The following is a 21,944-nucleotide window of genomic DNA, read 5'->3' on the forward strand; positions in this document are numbered from 1 at the left end:
CTGTTAAAGGAGTTATAGGAGCTGTAACATGAATTCTGAGCCAGCTTAGACCACAGATAACACATCCTGTCTTTCTAGACCTTGCACAGAAGTAGCACAAGAGCATGAAGTGCTCTCCCTGTGGGGTTCCCAGGAATCGAAGCAGTCTGAGCCGGGCTGCCACCAGGGTATGGGGAGGAGGGACACTCACTTGTTGCAGTGCTGTTTGAGGTGTTTCTTATAGCCATCATCATGCAAGACCACCTCGGGGTTGCAGGTGGCTAGCCAATCTGCATCCTTTAGCTCTGGGATTAGCAACTGGTTCTTCGTCTTCTTCCCCTTCCTCCCTCTGGGGACTGGGGCAGATAAGCCTGAAACAGAAAGACAGCATAGGGCAAGTGGATAGCCAAGGGGGGTGTTACACACGGGTTTTAGAAGAGCTGGGCTGGGGTTTGTTAGAACAGAGTTGGGCTGTGCTCTGGATGGCAGACCCTACTCCTTAGCCCACAGGTGGTGGTGGTAGGAAGGAAGGCCATGCACTTGGTCTCCTCCTTAGTAAACAAATAAACTCCAGGACCATTTAGTTTGTCAGTAAGATTTCCCAAGTACCCTGTGAGGATTAAGAAAGGTGTAACATAACCTGTGCCCTTTGGGAACTTACAACCTGGCTGGGAGAAAAGGAACATTTGACCTAAAACTTCAAGGGGAGCCTTAGCCAAGGATAGGGAAGGAATGTAGCACAAGAAAAGGCACAGACAGAGGTGGGACAGGGACAGGATGGTGAAATGCAAAAGGCAAGTCACTGTGCATCCCTAATTCAGAGGGGGAGTCTGTGTGAGACTCAGGTTAGTGGGCAGGACCAGATGTGGGAAACTTTAAGAGGGTCCAGTTGTACTTCAACAAAATATCACAGGTAACACTGGGAGATTCTGAGGCAGAAACGAAAGCAACATCTTTTCCCACTGGTAACATTCTGAAAAACACCCGAGAAAGAGAAGTCCCCCAAAGCACAGCAATACGGCCCCGCAGAGGAAGAGGGGATGAAGTGCATGGGAATCGTGCTTCTTAGGCATGGCCCTGCCACCTCTCACCTGAGTGGTTCTGGAGGGTCTGGGCTTGCCCATCTTTGGTAGGTGTGATCAGTTCCCAAATGAAACTCTTGATCTTCTCGTCCCCCTTATAATGCTTGACACAGTACACCAGGAGGGCACGGCAAATCATCTCCATGTCCTTCTCGTTCAGATGCCACTTGAATCGGCCATGAGTCAGGATGTCCTTCCACCGGCCCCAGCTGACAGTGGACATACAGACAGGTGTTGGAGGGAGAATGGACCAGGCCATGCAGGCAGCCTCCCCACAGGAGGAGAAACAAGAGCCATACATGCTTTTTGTTCTCTGTAGGTCTGTTAATCATCCCAAGGGCTTTGTCCCGAAAGGCCTTTGAGGACCACCTGACTGTAGCACACCGAATATCACTAAAGTGACCTGGACGTTGGACACTGAGAGCTTCATATGGCCACTACAATGTTAAAAAGGGAGGGACCAAACTACTGGGAGCAGGGAATAAATTTGGAATCAAAAAGAGTCCAACAGCACTATTCAAAAGCAATGATGAGCTCATGGCAGCTGAACCTTTGATTTCTACCAGAGCCAAAGCCCTGCACGAATCATGCCTTGGCGATAACATGTGTTGTGTGGACTCCTTGTATATCCTTGCGGGGTGGGAGGAAGCAGGAAATCAGTACCAGACAGCAAATTAGGACCAGAGATTTGTTGTGACAGGCATATGAGAAAATCATGGCATGTCTGCATTGTGGTTGCGGAGCATACGGTGACTGAGACGGATTCTGGGCAGAAGGCACAGTTCTCTCTTGCTCCAACAGATCCCCCTTTGCCCTATAATTCCAAAGGTGACTGGAGAGACATCCTAGACAAATCTCAGGGACTGAAAAACAGAGGGGAACAAACAACAATAACAACAAAACTAAGCAGAGCCAATACCCACCCAAAGATGAGCAGGTTCTTCTCTACCCGGAAGCACTCCGCTCGGAGGTAGCGCCTGGCTTTGTCATTGAGGCGCCTGGATCTCGTGGGCCTTTCGTCTGAGTCGCTGTCTAACTCTGAAAACTCCATGAGCTCGTCTTCCTCAAACGAGTTGTAGTGTTTGGTCTGCTTTCTCACGCGAGGTCGGTCGATCACTAAGCTTTCCTAGAAATGGAGAGGACTACTGGGAAGAAAGTCCTCTTTTCTCTACTCCTTTCACAAAGCATAAGTGTATCCTCAGGACACATTTGGGATAGAACCATGCCCCGTCTCATCCTCCAGCACGAAGGGCTATTCCCAGCACACCTGCTGTCTCCATGACCACAGGACAAGCAGAGAAGATTCTCTGGGACTTGCTCAAGTTGATGTGCTCCCTGGCCCCCAGTGCTGCTTGTCACCATCTGTTGTTTCTGCAGTCATTCTACCCGGGGTGTGGGCAGGCAAGGCCCCCCCCCAGTGACCAAAGTGGTGTCGGCTCTAGCCAAGAAAGACTGGAGTAGTGAAGACCCAGCTGTTCTGCCCAGCATGCAGAGAGCAGTCTGCACTCTGGAGACAAGACAAGCTAGAGAATTCCATCTGCTCAGCAACTTTCTGAAGACAAACGCATATTCCTGCTTTATTTATCTGCCTTCGACTGGTTCTATCCACTAACCTTTTGCCTTTCACTGACAATACCATCTCCAGCTCAGGAGCCTCGGTCATTCTGATGGTTCCCCTGGCTATGTGTCTTCTCTAGTCTCCATTGCTTCCTGCTCCTCACTCCTTCCCCCATACCTCTTCCCCAAGCCAGGCCAGCCTCCTGACTACTCCTCCACACAGCCCAGATAACAAATGTCGTGTTATCCCTGCTCTGATCACCGTGCTTCCCAACACGGAAGGCTCCAACTGCTTCTGCCTGGCTACAGGGCCACAGTGCTTTCTCCCCTTGCTTGGACCCAGTGTCCTGCACACACAGTAGCTTCTTGATTGCGACACTGTGAAACACTTAGAACAGGTTACTAAAGGGGACTGCAGGATCTTCTTAAAAGAGGAAAATCAGCATTTCTATTTATAGGAGAAAAGAGGGTGGATTAAGCAACCTGTGGTCGTTCTGGCTGGGTGCTGGTTACTGAATTAGCTAGCTACAAGCAGGGACTGTCTCCTGGCTTTGTGGAACCATGAGAGTTCAATACTCACCTGAGAAGACACTCATCCTGAAGTGAGGTGACAGGGTCAGAGATGAAGGACGGGAAATCAACATTTAAGGGGTGCCTCACAGTGGGCTGGGCACTGGTGCCAGTTATACCCACAAATGTTACCTTGTAACCCCACAGTGTGGGCCTGACCACCTCCTCTTCTACTAATCTCAGCGGGGGTCAAAAGCTTCATCCGAAGGCATACTCTGGTTTCACTCTCAAGTCCATTCTCTTTCTCATGTTCAGAATTAAGAAAACATGAGACACTGAAAGAATGGAGGTAAAGCCAACAAACTTTTGTCATGCTTTTTCCCTCTATTATGTGTGAAGTTTCTCTCACAGAAAGTGTTGAAATACAAATAAAATAGTCACATGCCAGGGATAGAATGTTGGTTTGAGGCAGAGGCCTGAACTTGACCTGTGTATCCAGTTCCAGTTCTAATTGCCTTCATCTAATTTCCCAGGTGCCCAACAGACTGAATGGCCATTTAAAAATGACAACAGTTAAGATTTATTGAGTGATGTCTATGTGCCAGGCATATTTTAAGCATGGTACAAATACCATTTAAGAACCAAGACTCAAGAGTAAATAATGACTTGAGCTGTGTAGGAATTTATTGTCATGTATGACATAAGTGAATGTTCCATGGAATAAAATATTATTTTGCTGTACCTTTTCATTCTTTGCTTCAGTGTCTAGTTCAGCTATTTTAGCCCATTTCTGCCAAAAGTTAGGATCATCTAAGGAAATATCTGTTCTGTTTCCTGAAGCCACAAAGCTAGCCTGTGAAGAAGACAAGAATTAATAAACTGTGCTTGAACACAATACAAACTAATAAAACACCAGTGTTACTTCAAGAGAAACCTAAGTATATTATCTATTTGCATTCAAAATCAAACCCTTAACAGAGCTTCCAAAATGAATTGAAAATCTCAAGGCTATTCTTTTTTTACCTTTTATTTTAAAAATTGGGTGAGGAAATCATAATTTCAACTGAAGGGATCATTTTTTTTTGGAGCTTAAGCTTGGAAGCAGGAAGGCAAACCCCGGAAGACAATGGCAATGTGACACTTGGTGTCTAGTTTCCTATGAAAGAGTTAACACTTAAAACTTTTCTAGATTTTTCTTTCAGTGCAACAGTTACCAAATGTCTGCTATGGAAAAGGTATTAGGCTGGGCAGTATGAGGTGTAGAGACAAGGGATGGTTCACCCATATCCTCCTTATAAAACACTGAACGTCCCACTAAAAAACTTTCAGGTGTCACCAAACAGGAGATTTAATCAAACAGGTCACAAAGCTCACACAGGAATCAGCAGTGGTTGTGGCTAGGGAAACCTGAGAGTGATCTGCTAAGTTTTAAATCCAGTGGCCTAAACAGCAGAGAAAAGAGGCACCCAGACTAGAAGCTGGGAATTTTACGTAAAATCTCTTTCCCATTAAACAAACAAACAAATTGCTTGAGTTTGGGGAATGGAGTGTTCACTGGAGCTTCCACTCTCTATCAGTGATCAAGAAGTGCTCTACAAGGGAATCAAGATGTCCACTGGAAGGTTTCAGAGCAGTCCTTGCAAACAGAGCCAACTGAGAATAGGAGTGTTTATTCTGTCTGTTAAAGATCAGCTCTCAAAGGTGAGGAGTGGTATTTTCTTGGTATAGTCCCTGACTCCCTATTCAGACTTCCTTCCTCTAAGGATCTATATCTTTAGATAGTCACGCAGACTAAATGTGCAGCCAATTTCTAGGATTTGCATTCAGAGAAACAGAAGCCCTGCTAATGGGTTTCAGAGAATAAACATTTTTTTTTCTCTCCCACCCCCAACAGCTCTGGAGAGAAGGCCCTGTACCTTGGCAAAAGTGGACCCTTTCCCCTCAGACTGGATGGTGATGGTGTGCGTTCGCCTCTGCAGAATCTGGTCTATGTCTTCTTCACAGAACTTGGAGCCTTCATCTTCTTCATCCATTAAGGCTCCATAAGCACCTTTCCGGAGTAGGTCCTCCACCTCCATTTTTGAGAGCTGCTGTACCTGGACAGGTCACCAAAGGCTACTCACAAAGTGGAAAATGTATAGGAGAAAAACAGCCTCAAATCTGGTTTTTGTGATTCAGTGCATAGTTCCTCCATGAACTACATGTTAGAACAAAGGACGTGGGCAACAAACTTCAGCTAGTGAAATCCCAGATGCGATACTCTGGGGAGGGCAGGCAGACAGTCCTCTATAGGCAGCTCTGAAATAAAGCTCAGCACATGATCCAAGGTCCCTAACATTCTTCAGGATGTTGGTTATTATCAGATGTCACAAGCCACTATAACTATGCATCATTGAAGATGGTACTTTTGACATCTTTATATTTTAGTTAGAGCTTGTATCTTTAAAAACCTCCAGATGTACCAAACAAGCAGAAGAACAATGATTTATTCATTATTAAATAAATATGTATATTAGTATTGTAAATGAGGTCATTTCTCAACTAAAAAAAAAATGATCCCATGATAAATGTGATCTTCTCAAAAAAAACAGGAAATGGGGTCCCAAACACCCTTTTCTGGTTCTAATTAAGAATCTGGTTCTCTTTATATCAATCACAAGAGGGAATTCCATGACTCTCTGCATGACTAACTTGAAGTATTATACTTAGCAACATATGCATAGCTAAGAGGATATGGAACATCTGGACTAAAGACAACTCATTTAGAAGGTTTAAGCATCCAATCTTTGATGCCCTGAGCCCAGAGATTAAGGAAATATTCTGCTTTGTTTGCCTATACTTTAAGATACTTTAGGACAATTTAAGAATCTTAGCTGTAATTCTTATGCCCCCAAAGGGGGAAAAATATTTTAACTGCCTTATTTTAAGCTGCTAATTTATTCATTCATTTACTGACCATCCAGCACTTTATGTTTTTAATATGCCGAGCACTGTTAGGGGCCGAGGGGACATAGATAAAATTGGTCCCAGTACACTCTCAAAGCTCAAAGTCTGAGGTATGAGATAAGGCACAGTAACAAATACAATGTTAAGATCTACTGGCTTCTAACGGGCACAGTTAAAAACTCTGTTTACTGAAATGTTACACCAAGCTGGGCAATCCTACCTCATAACTGCTTCTACGGATTTCCTTTAACCACCCAGAAAACACAGACACCTGACTCTTAACGATGCCCTGTTGTAGGGAATTACCCAATAATGATGTGAGGGCTGGCTCAATGCAGCGAAAGTGAACCCTTAAACAGCTGTAAGAAGAGAAGCCTGTCTGGGCTGTGCGACCAATGTTCCTTAAGACTCCAGAGCAGGCCCATCACACTCACCCCATTGGTGCCGCCCTTTCGGTTGATGTCCTGAAGAACAGCCTTGTCCAGCCCCAGCTTTAGGCTGGCCTTGTCAAACATCTCGCGCTCGTAGGAATTTCGAGTGATGAGGCGATACACCTTCACAGCTTTGCTCTGGCCTATGCGGTGACATCGGGCCTGAGCCTGGGAAGAAGAAGAGTCATATGCATCACGTCACCGTATGTATAAACGGCAGCAACCCTGGGAATAGGGGAGTGCTTAAATGTCATGTGGTGTGAGTGGCCAACTCTCGGTTACAAGTAACAGGACTGATTTCAGAACAGAATTTATACCCAAAGGTTGGCTGCCACCCTCCGTGGCCACTCATTTCTTCTCCCATTGTGTACTGACTACTGCGTGCCAGGGATAAAGCAATGAGAAGGACATGGTGTCCCATCCTGTGCCCCCGCCCTGCTGTGGTCTGTGCAAGGCAACTTGTGAGTGGCACACATTCCCAGGATGCTGTCCTGTCCTCTTGGAAGATATGCTTCAGAGCTGGTAGCACTGAAAATTTATTTTTAAAATTTTGCTACTGAAATTTTCAAACATAGATCAAAATATAGGGAAGTATAATGACCTCTTACGGACAATCTCGTTTATTTTTACCACACTCCACCCTCCCAGATTGTTAGGAAGTAAATAAATCCTAAGCATCATACTGTTTCATTCTTACATATTTCAATACACATTTCTAAAGATACAAACTCTTGTAAAATATATATTATTATCATTGTCACACTTAAAAACAACTGCATTTCTGCTGTGTCACTGAACAGGTACCTTTATTTCCTGTATTTTCTCTAAACTAGGAGTTCTACCTTGGAACCTGATCAGCTTAAGATTTGAGCATCTGAATGTACACCAAGAGGCAGATGGTATCTGGTCATCTTTCTTTTGAATTGATGATCATTGCCTAGATCTGTTAATTCATCAGGGGCTACCCTAATGTACAGTTCATATAGGAGGGACAAGCTAAATATTTGATTCTCTTTATTTAATCAGTTTCCAAAATAACATCCCAAAAAGTGACCAATGAAATTTTTTTTATTACTTCTTTATGGGATACAATGAAGGCATGCACTTAAATATATCTGCCATGTTTTACTGCACTGCAGTTATTATTCTTATTGCTGTTCACATTTGGCTCATGGGAGCCTCTCTAAGTTGGCTCCTGAGTTCCTTCAACATGACCTAGTCAAATGTGGAAAAAAGGAAGACGAGAATCAACTCTGCAGTATTTGAATGGACTGAAGGTATCAGTATGAACTCATGGTTAGGTGTATATGTATATATACACACATATACATACACATACTCACACAGATATAGAAATAGGTATGGATATGTGTACATTTATGTTTGTATGTTATATCAAAGACTGGTAGTCTTTCAATAGTTCCCTTGCTTTCAACATATTCCACACTCCTCTTGTACATTTCCTGTCCAGACCTGGCTTCAGCCATTTTGTTTCCAGAAGTCCTAGTCTCTTTTAGCGGGAATGTTTTTTCTCCCTGAGTAAGCAAGCAGAGGGGTGATTACTGACACTGAGAGGAAGAGGTGGCCATGCCATGTGAGTGAGCCCTGCAGGTATCACTGGACACCCCAGGTCCTTCCTTATCTTGGCCCAGAGCAGTAAGACATGTGGCCCTTGCTCCTCTGTGAGTTAGTGGCAGAGCAAGTCTGGAGCCTTGGACTTCTGCTCCTGCCCCGTGATCTTGATCCTGGAGTCCAGAATTGCAAGCAATGGGTCCCCTGTGTCAGAGGCCAGGCTGTTTGAGTTGGATTTGAAGTTACTGGGCCCAGAGAAAGGGGTAAGTCTAAGCAGGAATCCTATGTTTGCCCATAAGGGACTCACCCAGTGCCAGAATCCCTGGATATGGAAGCCCCCACCCATGCCCTGCCCACATTCTTCCCCTAACCTCATGGCTGAAAATGACACCAGAATTCCTATACTTAGTACTAAAGCGGCCCAAACACTAAGAAGCCCAGTAAGTACTGGGACAGAAGAGAGGCCACTGGGGCGGGGGTACAGGAAATGGCCATCAAAGCAGGGCTAAAGGAGGGTGGATCCCAGGCACCTCCTGCCACTTGGCCCACTGTGTTACAGAGGTCCTCCTTGCAATAAGAAAGCTTGAAGTTCATCTTGGTGCCCAAAATTTGCATATTTCTGTGATACGATTTGGCTGTGTCACCATCCAAATCTCAACTTGAATTTATCTCCCAGAATTCCCATGTGTTGTGGGAGGGAGCCAGCGGGGAGGTAACTGAATCACGGGGGCCAGTCTTTCCAGTGCTATTCTAGTGATAGTTAATGAGATCTGATGTGTTTATCAGGGATTTCTACTTTTGCTTCTTCCTCATTTTTCTCTTGCCGCCGCCATGTAAGAACAGCCTTTCGCCTCTTGCCATGATTCTGAGGCCTCCCCAGCCATGTGGAACTGTAAGTCCAATTAAACCTTTTTTTGTTCCCAGTTTTGGATATGCCTTTATTAGCAGTATGAAAATGAACTAATACAGTAAATTGGTACCAGTAAAGCAGGGCGTTGCTGAAAAGATACCCGAAAACGCGGAAGCGACTTTGGAACTGGGTAATAGGCAGAGGTTGGAACAGTTTGGAAGGTTCAGAAGAAGATAAAATGTGGGAAAGCTTGGAACCTCCTACAGACTTGTTCAATGGCTTTGCCCAAAATGCTGGCAGAGATATGGACAATAAGGTCCAGGCTGAAGTGGTCTCAGAAGGAGATGAGGAACTTGTTGGGAACTAGAGCAAACGTGACTTTTGTTACATTTAAGCAATGAGACCAGTGGCATTTGCCCCTGCCCTCGAGATTTGCGGAACTTTGAACTTGAGAAGGATGATTTAGGGTATCTGGTGGGAGAAATTTCTAAGCAGCAAAGCATTCAAGGGGTGACTTAGGTTCTGTTAAAAACATTCAGTTTTATAAGGGAAGGAAAGAATAAAAATTTGGAAAATTTGCAGCCTGACTATGCGATAGAAAAGAAAAATCAATTTTCTGGGGAGAAATTCAAGCTGGCTACAGAAATTTGCATAAGTAACAAGAAGCCTAATGTTAATCCCCAAGAGCATGTGGAAAGTCTTTAGGCCATGTCAGAGACCTTCATGGCAGCCCCTCCCATCACAGGCTCGGAGGCCTAGGAGGAAAAAGTGGTTTTGTGGGCTGGGCCCAGGGTCCCTGTGCTGTGTGCAGCCTAGGGACTTGTTGCCCTGTCCCAACTGTTCCAGCCATGGCTGAAAGGGGCCAATGTACAGCTCAGGCTGTGGCTTCAGAGGGTGAAAGCACCAAACCTTGGCAGCTTCCACGTGGTGTTGAGCCTGAGGGTGCACAGAAGTCAAGAATTGAGATTTGGGAACCTCCACTTAAATTTTAGATGTATGCAAATGCCTGGATGTCCAAGCAAAAGTTTGCTGCAGAGGTGGGGTCCTCATGGAGAACCTCTGCTAGAGCAGTGCGGAAGGGAAATGTGGGGTCGGAGCCCCCACACAGAGTCCCTACTTGGTCACTGGCTAGTGGAGCTGTGAGAAGAGGGGCACCATCCTCCAGACCCAGAACTGTAGATCCACTGACAGTTCGCACTGTGTGCCTGGAGAAGCCACAGACACTCAATGCCAGCCCAAGAAAGCTGCTGGGGGAGGGAGGCTGTACCCTGCAAAGGCACAGGTGTGGAGCTGCCCAAGACTACCTCTTGCATCAGCATGACCTGAATGAGAGACCTGAAGTCAAAGGAGATCATTTTGGAGCCTTAAAATTTCAATGCTCCGGTGGATTTTGGACTTCCATGGGCCCCCTTTGTTTTGGCCAATTTCTCCCATTTGGAATGGCTGTATTTACCCAATACCTGTATCCAAATCATATCTAGAAAGTAATTAACTTGCTTTTGATTTTACAGGCTCATAGGCAGAAGGGACTTGCCTTGTCTCAGATGAGACTTTGGACTGTGGACTTTTGGGTTAATGCTGAATGAGTTAAGACTTTCGGGGACTGTTGGGAAGGCATGAAATGTGAAGACATGAGATTTGGAGGGGCCAGGGGCAGAGTGATATGATTTGGCTGTGTCCCCATCCAAATATCAACTTGAATTGTATCTCCCAGAATTCCCACACTGTGGGAGGGACTCAGCAGGGAGGTAACTGAATCATGGGGGCTGGTCTTTTCCATGCAATTCTCACGATAGTTAATGAGTCTCATGAGATCTGATGGGCTCATCAGGGGTTTCTGCTTTTGCTTCTTCCTCATTTTCTCTTGCCGCTTCCATGTAAGAAGAGCCTTTCGCCTCCCGCCATGATTCTGAGTCCTCCCCATCCATGTGGAACTGTACGTCCAATTAAACTTCTTTTTCGTCCCAGTCCCCGGTATGTCTTTATCAGCAGTGTGAAAATGAACCAATACATCCTGGTTTACCAAGTTGTTCTTGGGGGCAGGAGGGAAGGCAGAACTTGTTCTCCACTGTCACTTTCTTAGACTCAACAATCCTGGTCACTTCCGGGGAGACCCAGACCCCACTGAGGAAGGAGCACATAGCTGGCAGGCAAGAGCTTATGTGTGAGGCCACCAAGCATGGGCAACAGAACAGACCCTGGGGTCTCTGTGCACAGCAGGGCCACCAGGAAGACCAGAGCAAAGGTCTTCATAGCATGGGAAAAACTAACTTTTCCTCTCTCTTGCCAGGCTGCAGGGCAAGTGGCTAAGAAACAGTCCAGCCATAGACAGGGGTAGAAAACTTACAGACAACAATCTGGATACCCTAGAGGTGGTCCCTGCTACTAGGGATGATCATGGTTTCTAGTGCCTACTCAGTGGGCAAATATAGGAAGTGTTTGTGTGTGTAGAGTGTATATAAACATATGCATATATAAGACAAAATACATCATGAGGTCATACTGATATTTTTAGTTCAAATTATGATTGAAGAATTTTAGTTTCATCAACCTCACATCTGTATTTCTTTAATCATGTTGAAAAACTCAATTTTCAACCACATCAATATCAGTACTCATTTGATTTGTCCCACAATATAACATTTTCAGAAAACCAATACCATTACAACTCACTCAAAACATAATTACCAAAAAATTTCAAGATTTTTCTCTCCCCAGCCACTTAGGGATATATCCTGCTAAGTATGTATAGTGTTTTAAATACACACTTGAAAGTAGGTTTATTTTCTGTAGTTGCAAGGTTAGCAATCCTGAAACTACTTTCTGTTTAATCTAGGTTTCAGCAAATGAGTAAAGATACCGGGGGTAGCAGGAGTAAGGGCTTTCACTGTTGGAGAAGGAAATTATAAATATGGAAAGGAGGAAAACTAAAATAAACTCTGTGGTGCTAGAATGAATTGGAGGTATCAGTATTAACTCATGGTTAGGTGTACATGTGTATTTATATACACACATACATATACATAAAGGTACAGAAATAGATACGGATATGCATGTTTACGTATGCATTTGTGTCTATACACACATATACAAATGAATGCATATATTTACACATATGCATATTTATAGTCTCTCTTTCTGTGTGTATTCCAGCTATGTCCACTGAGAGGGCCTAGAAGAAACATCATTGCAGTAGCAATGAACACACCCAACTCCTGAATCTTGATTGCTAAAAACCATTACCTATACAACAGAGCCACAGTGTGCTAGAGAAATGGCTAACTGTAGTTAGGGCTGTGGTAGAGAAAGTATAGACTAAGCCTGAAACATATTACTGTGTCAGATGTAAGAAATTACTCAAAGAACGAGGGAGACATATGAGAATAACACTTAAAGCTCGAAGAGACTCCCACTGGCTAAGTCTAGAACTATATGAACAGAACATCGAAATAAATATAGTAACAGATTATAACTCACTAAATAAAAAAAGAACCCATGTATTCATATTGACATAAAATAAATAAATGGGAGAAAAAGGGAACACTCTTCCTTATAGTAGAATGCTAACTAACCAGTGCAGAGCGACAGTTAGAAAATCATCACTTTGTAACCATCATAGTGATGACTGATTCAGCCAAAAATAATCAATGGATGCTAAAACCAATGGGTGATACTTTGATGAGGAACAGGTACAGTTCCAATTTATTTCTCCAAAATTACTTATTATTTTCAAAGGGAAAAACAGAAACTTTATAAGTGGAGAAATCGGACAGATATCACTGTACTAAGTGATCAAAGTTACCATCATCAGACAAATGGACACCATGTTATTCCTGATGTGATATATTGAGATGGCTGTGTCAGTTCTGTAGTAGTACTAAACCTAGATCCAATCCTGAGGAAATACAGACAAATCCAAACGGAGGGACAACCTACAAAAAAACTGGCCAGTACTCTTCAAAAACTTGAAGGTCATAAAATAAAAAGAAAAACTGAGGAACTGATCCAGATTAACTAAGACTAAAGGGACATGACAGCTAAAGGTAATGGGTGACCCTGGATTGAATCCTGGACTGGGGAAATGACAGCTATAAAATATGTTGAAACAAATGATAAGACTTGAATATGAACTGTGGATTGGAGAATAGTATTTTTATATCTTGATTCTGAGAACTGAACTGTGAATATACAAGAGAAAGTCCTTGTACTTAGTGAAATACACACTGAAAGTATTTAGGGGACAAGGGGGTACAATGCCTGCAACTTACTCTCAAATAGCTCAGACAAAAAGTGATGTGTGTCTATGCATGTACTCAGAGAAAGAAAGGGACAGAGACACAAAGGAGAGAGTGAGAAAGGGCAAAAATGATAGAGTCGAGGCAAAATGTAAACACAGCTGGTGAATCTGGATAAAGGGTACACTGGAGTTGCAAAATGAAATTATATAGAAATAAAAATGTATAAACATATGAAATACAGACCCTTGAAATAATCCTTTTCTGTGAGTTATAAGCTATTCACTTGATACACAGCTAGATTCAATTGTTTCATTTTGCTTTTGAGTTTTAGGAATTGATGTTTCCCCCTATTAATTTAACCACACTGAAGCAGGTCGTGAAGAAAATAACTAAACTAAGCAACTTTGGCAAATAGTATTCTGATTATATACTGTAATACTAAAGACCAAAAAACCCACTATAGACCAACATTATATTCTGGTAAATGTATTTTTCACAAAATATGGGTTAGCAATTCTAAAACTACTTGATGTGTATACTAGGATGGAATAAATGAATAAATATACTGTGTTATGATAACAAGGTCCAGGCTTCATCCTGCCAGAGAAAGAAGTTACAAATAAGGAAGAGGAGGAGACTATAATGAACCCTGTGATGCTGCACTGTAATTAGAAAATTCACTATGGATGAATATATACAGAATAAATATAGCTGTGTGGTATGAGTGCTTGCTTAAGTATGCATACATCTGTTTCCTAGCTCCATGTGCACAGAGGGTCTAGAAGCAATAACAATCTAGTAGCAGTGGGCATACCTAGTAGCCAGAGTTTGGTTTCTAAATGCTGTTCTCAAGTAAAAGAAAGCAAGGATCGTTGGAGAATGGTCAATTCCAACGTGGGGGCACGAAAAATGTAACATGGACTTGAACCGTAAGGAAGCACTCAAAAAACAATGGGAGCATGTCAAAAAAACACAGAAGCCAATGTAAAGGAGCTACCAACGGCCAAATCTGGACAACCTGAAAACAAAATAAATAGAGTAATGGATTATAAAATAAAACAAAATCCACAAGTCAATACTGATATAAATAAATGGGAGACAAAGGACAACTTCGTTATAATAGAATTCTTACTAATAAATGTAGAAGGGATGATGAGAATAGAAAACTACCATTAGCTAAACACCATGGTAATAATTTACTGAAAGCAAGAACCATTGATGGAAGCTAAAATTAATGGACAGAAGTAGGATGAAAAACAGGATAGAGTCTCAAAATATTCACTCAGAAGATACTAATTTTTAGAGATAAATACAGTTATTTTATGGTGGAGAAACTTGGCAGATGGCACGTTAACCAAGTAATCAAAGTTACATCACGAGTAATAAGATGTATTCATATCACGCATCCCCTGATACAATGCACTGAGGAGGACATAATATGATTTCTATGGTACTCTTGCCTAAAATGCATAACCTCGTATCTCACCATAAGAAAACATCAGGCAAATACAGACTGAGAACAGTCCACAAAACAACTGGTCAGTACCCTTCAAAAGTGTCAAGGTCATGAAAGATAAGGAAAGACAAAGGAATTGTCACAGACTGCAGAAGGTTAGGGAGTCACAACTTCTAAATGGAATGTGGATACTGGGCCAGAAAAAAAATATTTCTAGGAAACTGAAGGAATGAATATGAATAAGGTCTGTAGATTAGTTAAAGAGTATCATATCAATGTTGCTTTCTTGGTTTCAATCATTATACTACGGTTATATAAAATGTCAACATTAAGGGAAGCTGGGTGAACTGTACATTGGAATTCTACATAATTTTTGCAACTTTTAAAAAAGGTTAAAAAAATTAATTTTGTTTTAATAATGAAGTAAAATGCTTAAAATGGTTCCAAAGTCAAATACACAAAACAGCATATTTGGAAAAACCAGCTTCTTTCCCTGTCCCTTCCATCCTGTTCTCTAAAGGTAACCATTTAAAAACAAAGTTTGTAGGCCGGGCGTGGTGGGTCACGACTGTAATCCCAGCACTTTGGGAGGCTGAGGTGGGTGGATCACAAGGTCAGGAGTTCAAGACCAGCCTGGCCAACATGGTGAAACCCTGTCTCTACTAAAAATACAAAATTAGCTGGGCGTGGTGGCGCGTGCCTGTAATTCCAACTACTTCGGAGGCTGAGGCAGGAGAATTGCTTGAACCCAGGAGGTGGAGGTTGCAGTGAGCCGAGGTTGCGTCACTGCACTCCAGCCTGGGTAACACAGCAAGACTCCATCCCAAAAAAACAAAAACAAAAACACACACAGTTTGTTTTAGTTTTACCCTTGGTAGGGAAGGGACAGACAAAGACACACAGCCTTTTAAGATAAATGCTAGCATACAGTACAAATTTTTTCCACCTTATTTTTTTTCCCCGCTTAACAATATATCCAGGGTACAATCCAGGGTATAGCAGGATATAGTGATAGTCTTCATTCTTTTTTCAAAGCTGAATATATTACAGTTTATTCAATTAGTCATCTATTGCTGAACAATTCAGTTGTGTAGTCTTTAGCTATTATAATTCGTTGCTGGACCTTCTTTCTGTATCTTTAGCGGTAGCAAATCTCTGCTACTGGGAGGTTTGATGAATGATTCTGCAAATTAAGGAAGTGATCATGGTGAACAATATGGTTTATGAGACCTTCAAGATAGTAATCTTATACGGCCCTTAAGTACTGACCCTGATTTCTTTTTCTGGCTCATATGGTGTTGAGGGTAAATTACAAGAGGGAGCTGAAAAGTTCTGAGCAAAAGATCTGATGGAGGAGCCCTGCAGACACTGCTAATGGCCTTCGTAGCATCCATCTCTTTCTTGCTCACTGCCAGAACCCTGACTCTTGTACAGGGCAGCAACATTTTCAACCGAAACTACTCCCAGCCTCCCAGGGATGGCCAGGTAACACAGTCCTAGACAATGAGGTGTAACAGAACCTCCTGAAGATATGTGCCAAAGTTCTGCTTTCCTGTAAAAACCAACATGCCTGCTTTCCTTATTTTTCCTTTCTGAGATGGAACCAAGAGGCTGTAAACCACACATACTGAGGCCAGTGGAGCAGAAAGACAGGAGGAACCCGGGACTCCGATGACACTATGATGTCACCTCACTAGTCCTCAACTGCCTACCTCTGGACTTGTTAACTGAGAAAAATAAACCCCTGTTTGGGAGAGCCGAGGCCACAAGCAGCTAAATTACATAGAAATAAACATGTTCTCCCCCAAGATGACTTACCTGAAGGACAACAGGATAAGTCCCATCACATTTAAGAGACTCATCATTTTACAGTCAAATCTCAAACCATTCTTTATTTTCCTAAGAGAACTCAATAAAAAAAAACATGAGATAGAGAAAGAAACATTCAGAACTAGGGCCAGGAACTCAGATGAAGTCCAAGGGAAATGCATCAGCAAAGGTATACATATAAAAACCTTTGGAGTAAAACACAACTAGGGGGCAGTGGTGCTATAATCCCCCAGCCCTAATCCCTGGAGAAAATTATAGTGCTCTAATTATAGTGCTCACAATTTCTTCTTTATTTTTTAATACATTTGGGGTGGACAAAAGCCAAAGAGAAATGAATAACGACGTTCTGACAATGAAAAAAAAAAAAAAAAAAAAAAAAAGGCTGGGTGTTGTGGCTCTCGCCCATCTTCCCAGCACCTTGGGAGTCTGAGGCAGGACTGCTTGAGGCCAGGGGTTTGAGACCAGCCTGGGCTGTCAACATAACAAGACCCTCTCTGGGGTTAAATCTGTCAGATAAGTCAGTCAAGAACTAGCTGAGAACAGGAAGGACAGATGAATTCACAGAATGGGAAAGGGGTGCTTTTGGGCAACAGAAAGGAGTTAAAAAAAAAAAAAAAAGAGGACATTGACAAGGAGAGGCAGCGGCGTACTCAAAAGGAACGTGACTCATTCTATTTAGGACTGGTGCTGTGTAATAAGTGCCTGTCCCATCCTGTGCTTCAGACGTGCCGCCTATTCACATCCCACTCTACATGGTCATACTCTTTGTTTTGTCTGGAATATTCTTCCTTCTTATCTCATAATTTTAGATCCTTTTCATTATTTCTGCTCAAATGTCATCTTCTTAAAGAAGTCTTCCTAGACCACTCTTTCTAAATCAGGGCAACCAACTCCTATCATTCTTTTTTTTTTTTTTTTGGGAGATGGAGTTTTGCTCTTGTTGCCCAGGCTGGAGTGCAATGGCATGATCTTGGCTCAGTGCAACCTCCACCTCCCAGGTTCAAGCGATTCTCCTGCCTCAGCCTCCCAAGTAGCTGGGATTACAGGTGCCCATCCCGACGCCTGGCTAATTTTTGTATTTTTAGTAGAGACAGCATTTCACGATATTGGCCAGGCTGGTCTTGAACTCCTGACCTCAGGTGATCTGCCCGCCTCGGCCTCCCAAAGTGCTGGGATTACAGGCATGAGCCACCGCGCCCAGCCCCAACTTCCATCATTCTTATCCCCTTATTTTATTTTCTTTGCAGTAAATACTGCTTATCTGTAATTATCTTATTTTTCCTCATTTATTGTCTGCCTATCCTACTGAAATAAAACTGTCAGTCTAGCTCACCAGTGTCTCTCCAATACTTTAAGTAACACCTGGCATGTCCCAGTGATCAAGAGATAGTCACTGAATAAATGACTACATAGTATAGTATTTGTGTATACATTTACAAATTATTACTTTCTCATAGCAAAGAAGACTCAACAGGTGCAATCCTCCAAACTCCAGACACACGTACTGTCAAGAAACAGGGGATGTAGGTGGGGCGTGGTGGCTCATGCCTGTAATCTCAGCACTTCGGGAGGCTGAGGTGGGTGGATCACTTGAGCTCAGGAGTTCAAGACCAGCCTAGGTAACATGTTGAAACCTCTTCTCTACAAAAATTACAAAAATTAGCCAGGCATGGGGCTCATGACTATAACTCCAGCTATTCAGGAGGCTGAGGTGGGTGGAGGCTGCGGTGAACTGACTTCGAGCCACTGCACTCTAGCCTGGATAACATAGCGAGATCCTGTCTTCTGAAAACATAAAATTAGGTAAGAAATAGGGGGTGCAAGCAATGTGGTGGCAGCAGAGGAAGAGGCACAGGGGTCCAATACCTCTTCCCCTCGGAGCAGTGTGGGAGTTTCCTGAGTCCTGCTTCTGGCGATTGTGGAAAGGGCCTGTCTCCTCACTCTGGACTCCCAACTGACTTCCAAAATCCTGCAGACATGCAGCAGCTGCATTATCTTGTGGCTGTGCTCTTGGCCAGGACATCTGCTCCCACACTTTCTGAATTCTGCCTTCAGGGACCTTAGCAGCAGGAAGGACGCAGAACTGTGCAGCCCACCGTTGTTATCTTGAACCCTCTTCAACCCTAAGGATCTCTTGCCTCCAGATGCAAAAAGTCCCCCAGAGAATAAGAAGCAGAAGTATCACAGAACAATGGAAGAGGAAGGTTTGTGGTCTCTGAGGGGAGCATGATAGCATGTTATTCCCAAGAGGTCTGCCTTTGCCTTCAGGGGTAGCAGCAACAGTGGCCTACTCCTAAGAAGAAAGAAGACAAAAACCCAGTTTTTCCTTTGTCTTTCCTTCTCAGGCTACTGTTATCGTCCTGTGCCACTTCTTAACCTTAGGTGTTATGGGAAACCTAGACAACACTTGCTGCTGCTGATGTGCCAGGACTAAATTAGAGCCTCTGTCTTCTAAATGATGGTGAGAAAAGGCAAACTGATAACCTTCAATTTTGTACACACATTGATGCGAATACAGACATATTCAAGGTTTGAGAGAGGGTGTGGCACTTACCTGACTCTAGATAAGATCTCCCCATTAAGGGGACGTAAAAATTGGTTTTCCTTTTAATAGTCCAGATAAAACAGTAATATTGCTAAGATCTCTCAGTGCTAACTTTAATCTCTTTTGTTATTCCTAAGTAGTACCCAGTTTCTATCCTGGATCCTAATGAACCTGTGCCTTCATTTTCTGGAAAGCAAGAGGAGGACAGGAGGATTTGGGAAGAGGAACACAATGATGTCAGCGTCCCAGCCTCCACACTCTCTCTGGAGTAAATATTCTATATTTATAGCACGTGGGTGCAAGGGCAAATGCCAAGGGGCGTGGGAATGTGTGTGTTTGTGTGGGGAGAGTGCATCATTCTGTGGACAGTCTCCAGCCCTCTTGCTTTTGGAAAGCCCTCTTGCTCTCTTCCTCATCACACCAAGCAAGCAAGAACCTTGCTCCATCTCTGTGGGAGACACAGAATTTGGACCTTCCTCTCTCTATCACATCTTTTTATAGCCCACCAGTCCCACTAACTAATAGCCACTCTTCTAGTCCCCTGTCCTAAAACTGCTCTACATTTCTCAATTCCTTCATCTCTACCTAGACTGGCTAGACTTTAAAAAAAAAAAAAGGATGATTCCTTCCGAGTTGTACACATGTTCTCTCTCACACAGTAACCTTTTGCTGCATTCTCCTTACGAACTCCCACCCTGCATCTTCCACCTTGGATCTTCCTCAGTGCTGGTCTTCTTCGTTTCTTCATTCAGGCTGAGCATTAGAGGAAGTTCAGAAACTGACTCAACACACTAGTAAAGTTCACACTATCCAATTTCAGTTTGGACTTCACTGCTATTCCTTAATTCATCTCTTGCCAGCTCCCCAGCAGTGGACATTGAGAACAGCTACTCCAAAGCTTCTCCCTTCATCCAAGACCCTTATTCTGGACAGTCCCACCCAACTTCCCTGGTTGCTACACATATAAATCAGTCACCTCAGATGACTTTGCCTTCTCCACTAGGTTTGACTATTCACGTTCTTGCTTTTCCCATGGCATTGCACCTATTCAACTGGTAATGTGTAGACTTCACCTAGGTGAAGCATGGTCATTCCAAAATGTTTGCCTCTGGCCATGAGCTGTTGCCAGCCCCATGCTTCCACTGATCCTCCTGGATATCGCTTCAGGCATGTCCAGCCGAGGTGTCCTCAAACTGGCCATTCAACTTTGGTTTCCTGTGCCACTATTCTTCCAGCTGCCATGCCTCACAGTCAGGTGAGCATCACAAAGAAGCCGAGAACTTTGTAACTGTCAAGGACTTAAGAAATCATGTTTTGGGGTTGGCAAAAATCTGAAAAGGGCCTGATAGTAAATATTTTAGGTTTTGTTGGCTATGAGGTCTCTGTTGCAACTACTCAATTCTGCCACTGTAACATGAAAGCAGCCACAGATTATATACTTACAAACGGGTGTGATTATATTCCAATAAAACTATTTTTAAAAACAGGCAGCAGGCCAAAAGGCAATCATTTTCCACCCCTTAATCTGTATAATTGTCGTAAGTAGGTTCTTGATAGTGAGCTGATCAAATATTAGTTTTTGCTTATTATTATTTTAGTGTTGAGTGTGTTACTCCTTTAAAAATGGGTTATTCATTACATCCAGCAACTCATATTCAGCCATCTTTTCACCAGTAGAAAGATGGTAAGCTAGTTATAATCACTGGTTTTCTTTGAGATCACTGGTTTTCTTTGAGGTTGCATGTTGAACATAGTTTACTTTATGATGTATACCATGAAATATTTTCAGTTTTTTTTTTTTTGAGACCGAGTCTCGCTCTGTTGCCCAGGCTGGAGTGCAGTGGCACAATCTCGGCTCACTGCAAGCTCCGCCTCGTGGGTTCATGCCATTCTCCTGCCTTAGTCTCCCGAGTAGCTGGGATTACAGGCACCCACCACGCCTGGCTAATTTTTTTTTGTATTTTTAGTAGAGACGGGGTTTCACTGTGTTAGTCAGGATGGTCTCAATCTCCTGACCTTGTGATCCGCCTGCCTTGGCTTCCCAAAGTGCTGGGATTACAGGCATAAGCCACCGTGCCCGGCCATTATTTTCAGAGTTTTAACCATCACTAACTTAATTTAAAGCACTAGTTTTCAACTAGTAGGCTGCTTTCTTCAAACACAAGTTTATGTGGAAACTCATTAAATGAAAAAGACAAAGGGCCGGGTGCAGTGGCTGACACCTCTAATCCCACCACTTTGGGAGGCCGAGGCGGGCGGATCACCTGAGGTCAGGAGTTCAAGACCGGCATGCCCAACATAGCAAAATCCCATCTTTACTAAAAATACAAAAATTAGCCAGGCGTGGTGGCAGGCCCCTGTAATCCCAGCTACGCAGGAGGCTGAGGCAAGAGGCAAGAGAATCGCTTGAACCTGGCAGGCAGAGGTTGCAGTGAGCTGAGATTGCCGCACTGCATTCCACCCTGGGGGAATGGAGTGAGACTCTGTCTCAAAAAAAAAAAAAAAAGAAAGGAATAGACAAAGCAGCAACTCTGTAGGAGTGGGTGGGTAGAGAAGAAGCCCAGACACCCATTGGCTTAGTGCCCTCTTCCCTGCATCCCTTCTCTTGCAGTATCCCCTAGAGTACCTCTTGAATCCTGTCAAACAGCAGCCTCCAAACTTCTTTTGATCAATCACCTGTATTATGAAAAAGGTTTTGAGCCACCCACCCACCTTCTTCACCACATACCCATAATCCTAGTGTTAGTAAATATCTCAAGATATATGCGATATACACTTAAGATGAAGTTCTTCATTAATGATAATGGCTGTAAATCTATATTCCATATTGTCTTATTGACAAGTTAGAATCTTTTTGGCTGACTTCGCGTCCCATATAGTTAGAATGCCATTGTTTTTACTTTGAAACAGGGTTGATGAAGAACTCCAAACTGGACCCTGCCATTTTC

At 43.2% G+C, this 21,944-nt stretch overlaps 1 protein-coding gene and 1 long non-coding RNA gene across 16 annotated transcripts in view; both read right to left on the reverse strand.

The window, feature by feature from the left end:
- The window catches only part of CHD6 (chromodomain helicase DNA binding protein 6), a 216,295-nt gene that overhangs the window by 48,673 nt on the left and 145,678 nt on the right, over positions 1–21,944 (reverse strand). For all 15 annotated transcript variants that reach the window (NM_032221.5, XM_047440549.1, XM_047440545.1 and 12 more), the window contains 6 exons: positions 6,509–6,673; positions 5,045–5,224; positions 3,871–3,981; positions 1,985–2,187; positions 1,071–1,270; positions 191–350 (listed from right to left, as the gene is read on the reverse strand). In NM_032221.5, coding sequence (NP_115597.3) covers positions 191–350; positions 1,071–1,270; positions 1,985–2,187; positions 3,871–3,981; positions 5,045–5,224; positions 6,509–6,673 — 1,019 coding nt within the window. The remainder of the gene's footprint in view (positions 1–190; positions 351–1,070; positions 1,271–1,984; positions 2,188–3,870; positions 3,982–5,044; positions 5,225–6,508; positions 6,674–21,944) is intronic.
- Positions 8,987–16,805, reverse strand: LOC124904904 (uncharacterized). Its single transcript, XR_007067587.1, has 2 exons — positions 16,440–16,805; positions 8,987–15,804 (listed from the first exon to the last, which is right to left on the reverse strand). It is a non-coding gene; the product is annotated as an uncharacterized LOC124904904 (long non-coding RNA).

The sequence above is a fragment of the Homo sapiens genome, chromosome 20 (assembly GCF_000001405.40).
Source record: "Homo sapiens chromosome 20, GRCh38.p14 Primary Assembly".
Lineage (NCBI taxonomy): Eukaryota > Metazoa > Chordata > Mammalia > Primates > Hominidae > Homo > Homo sapiens.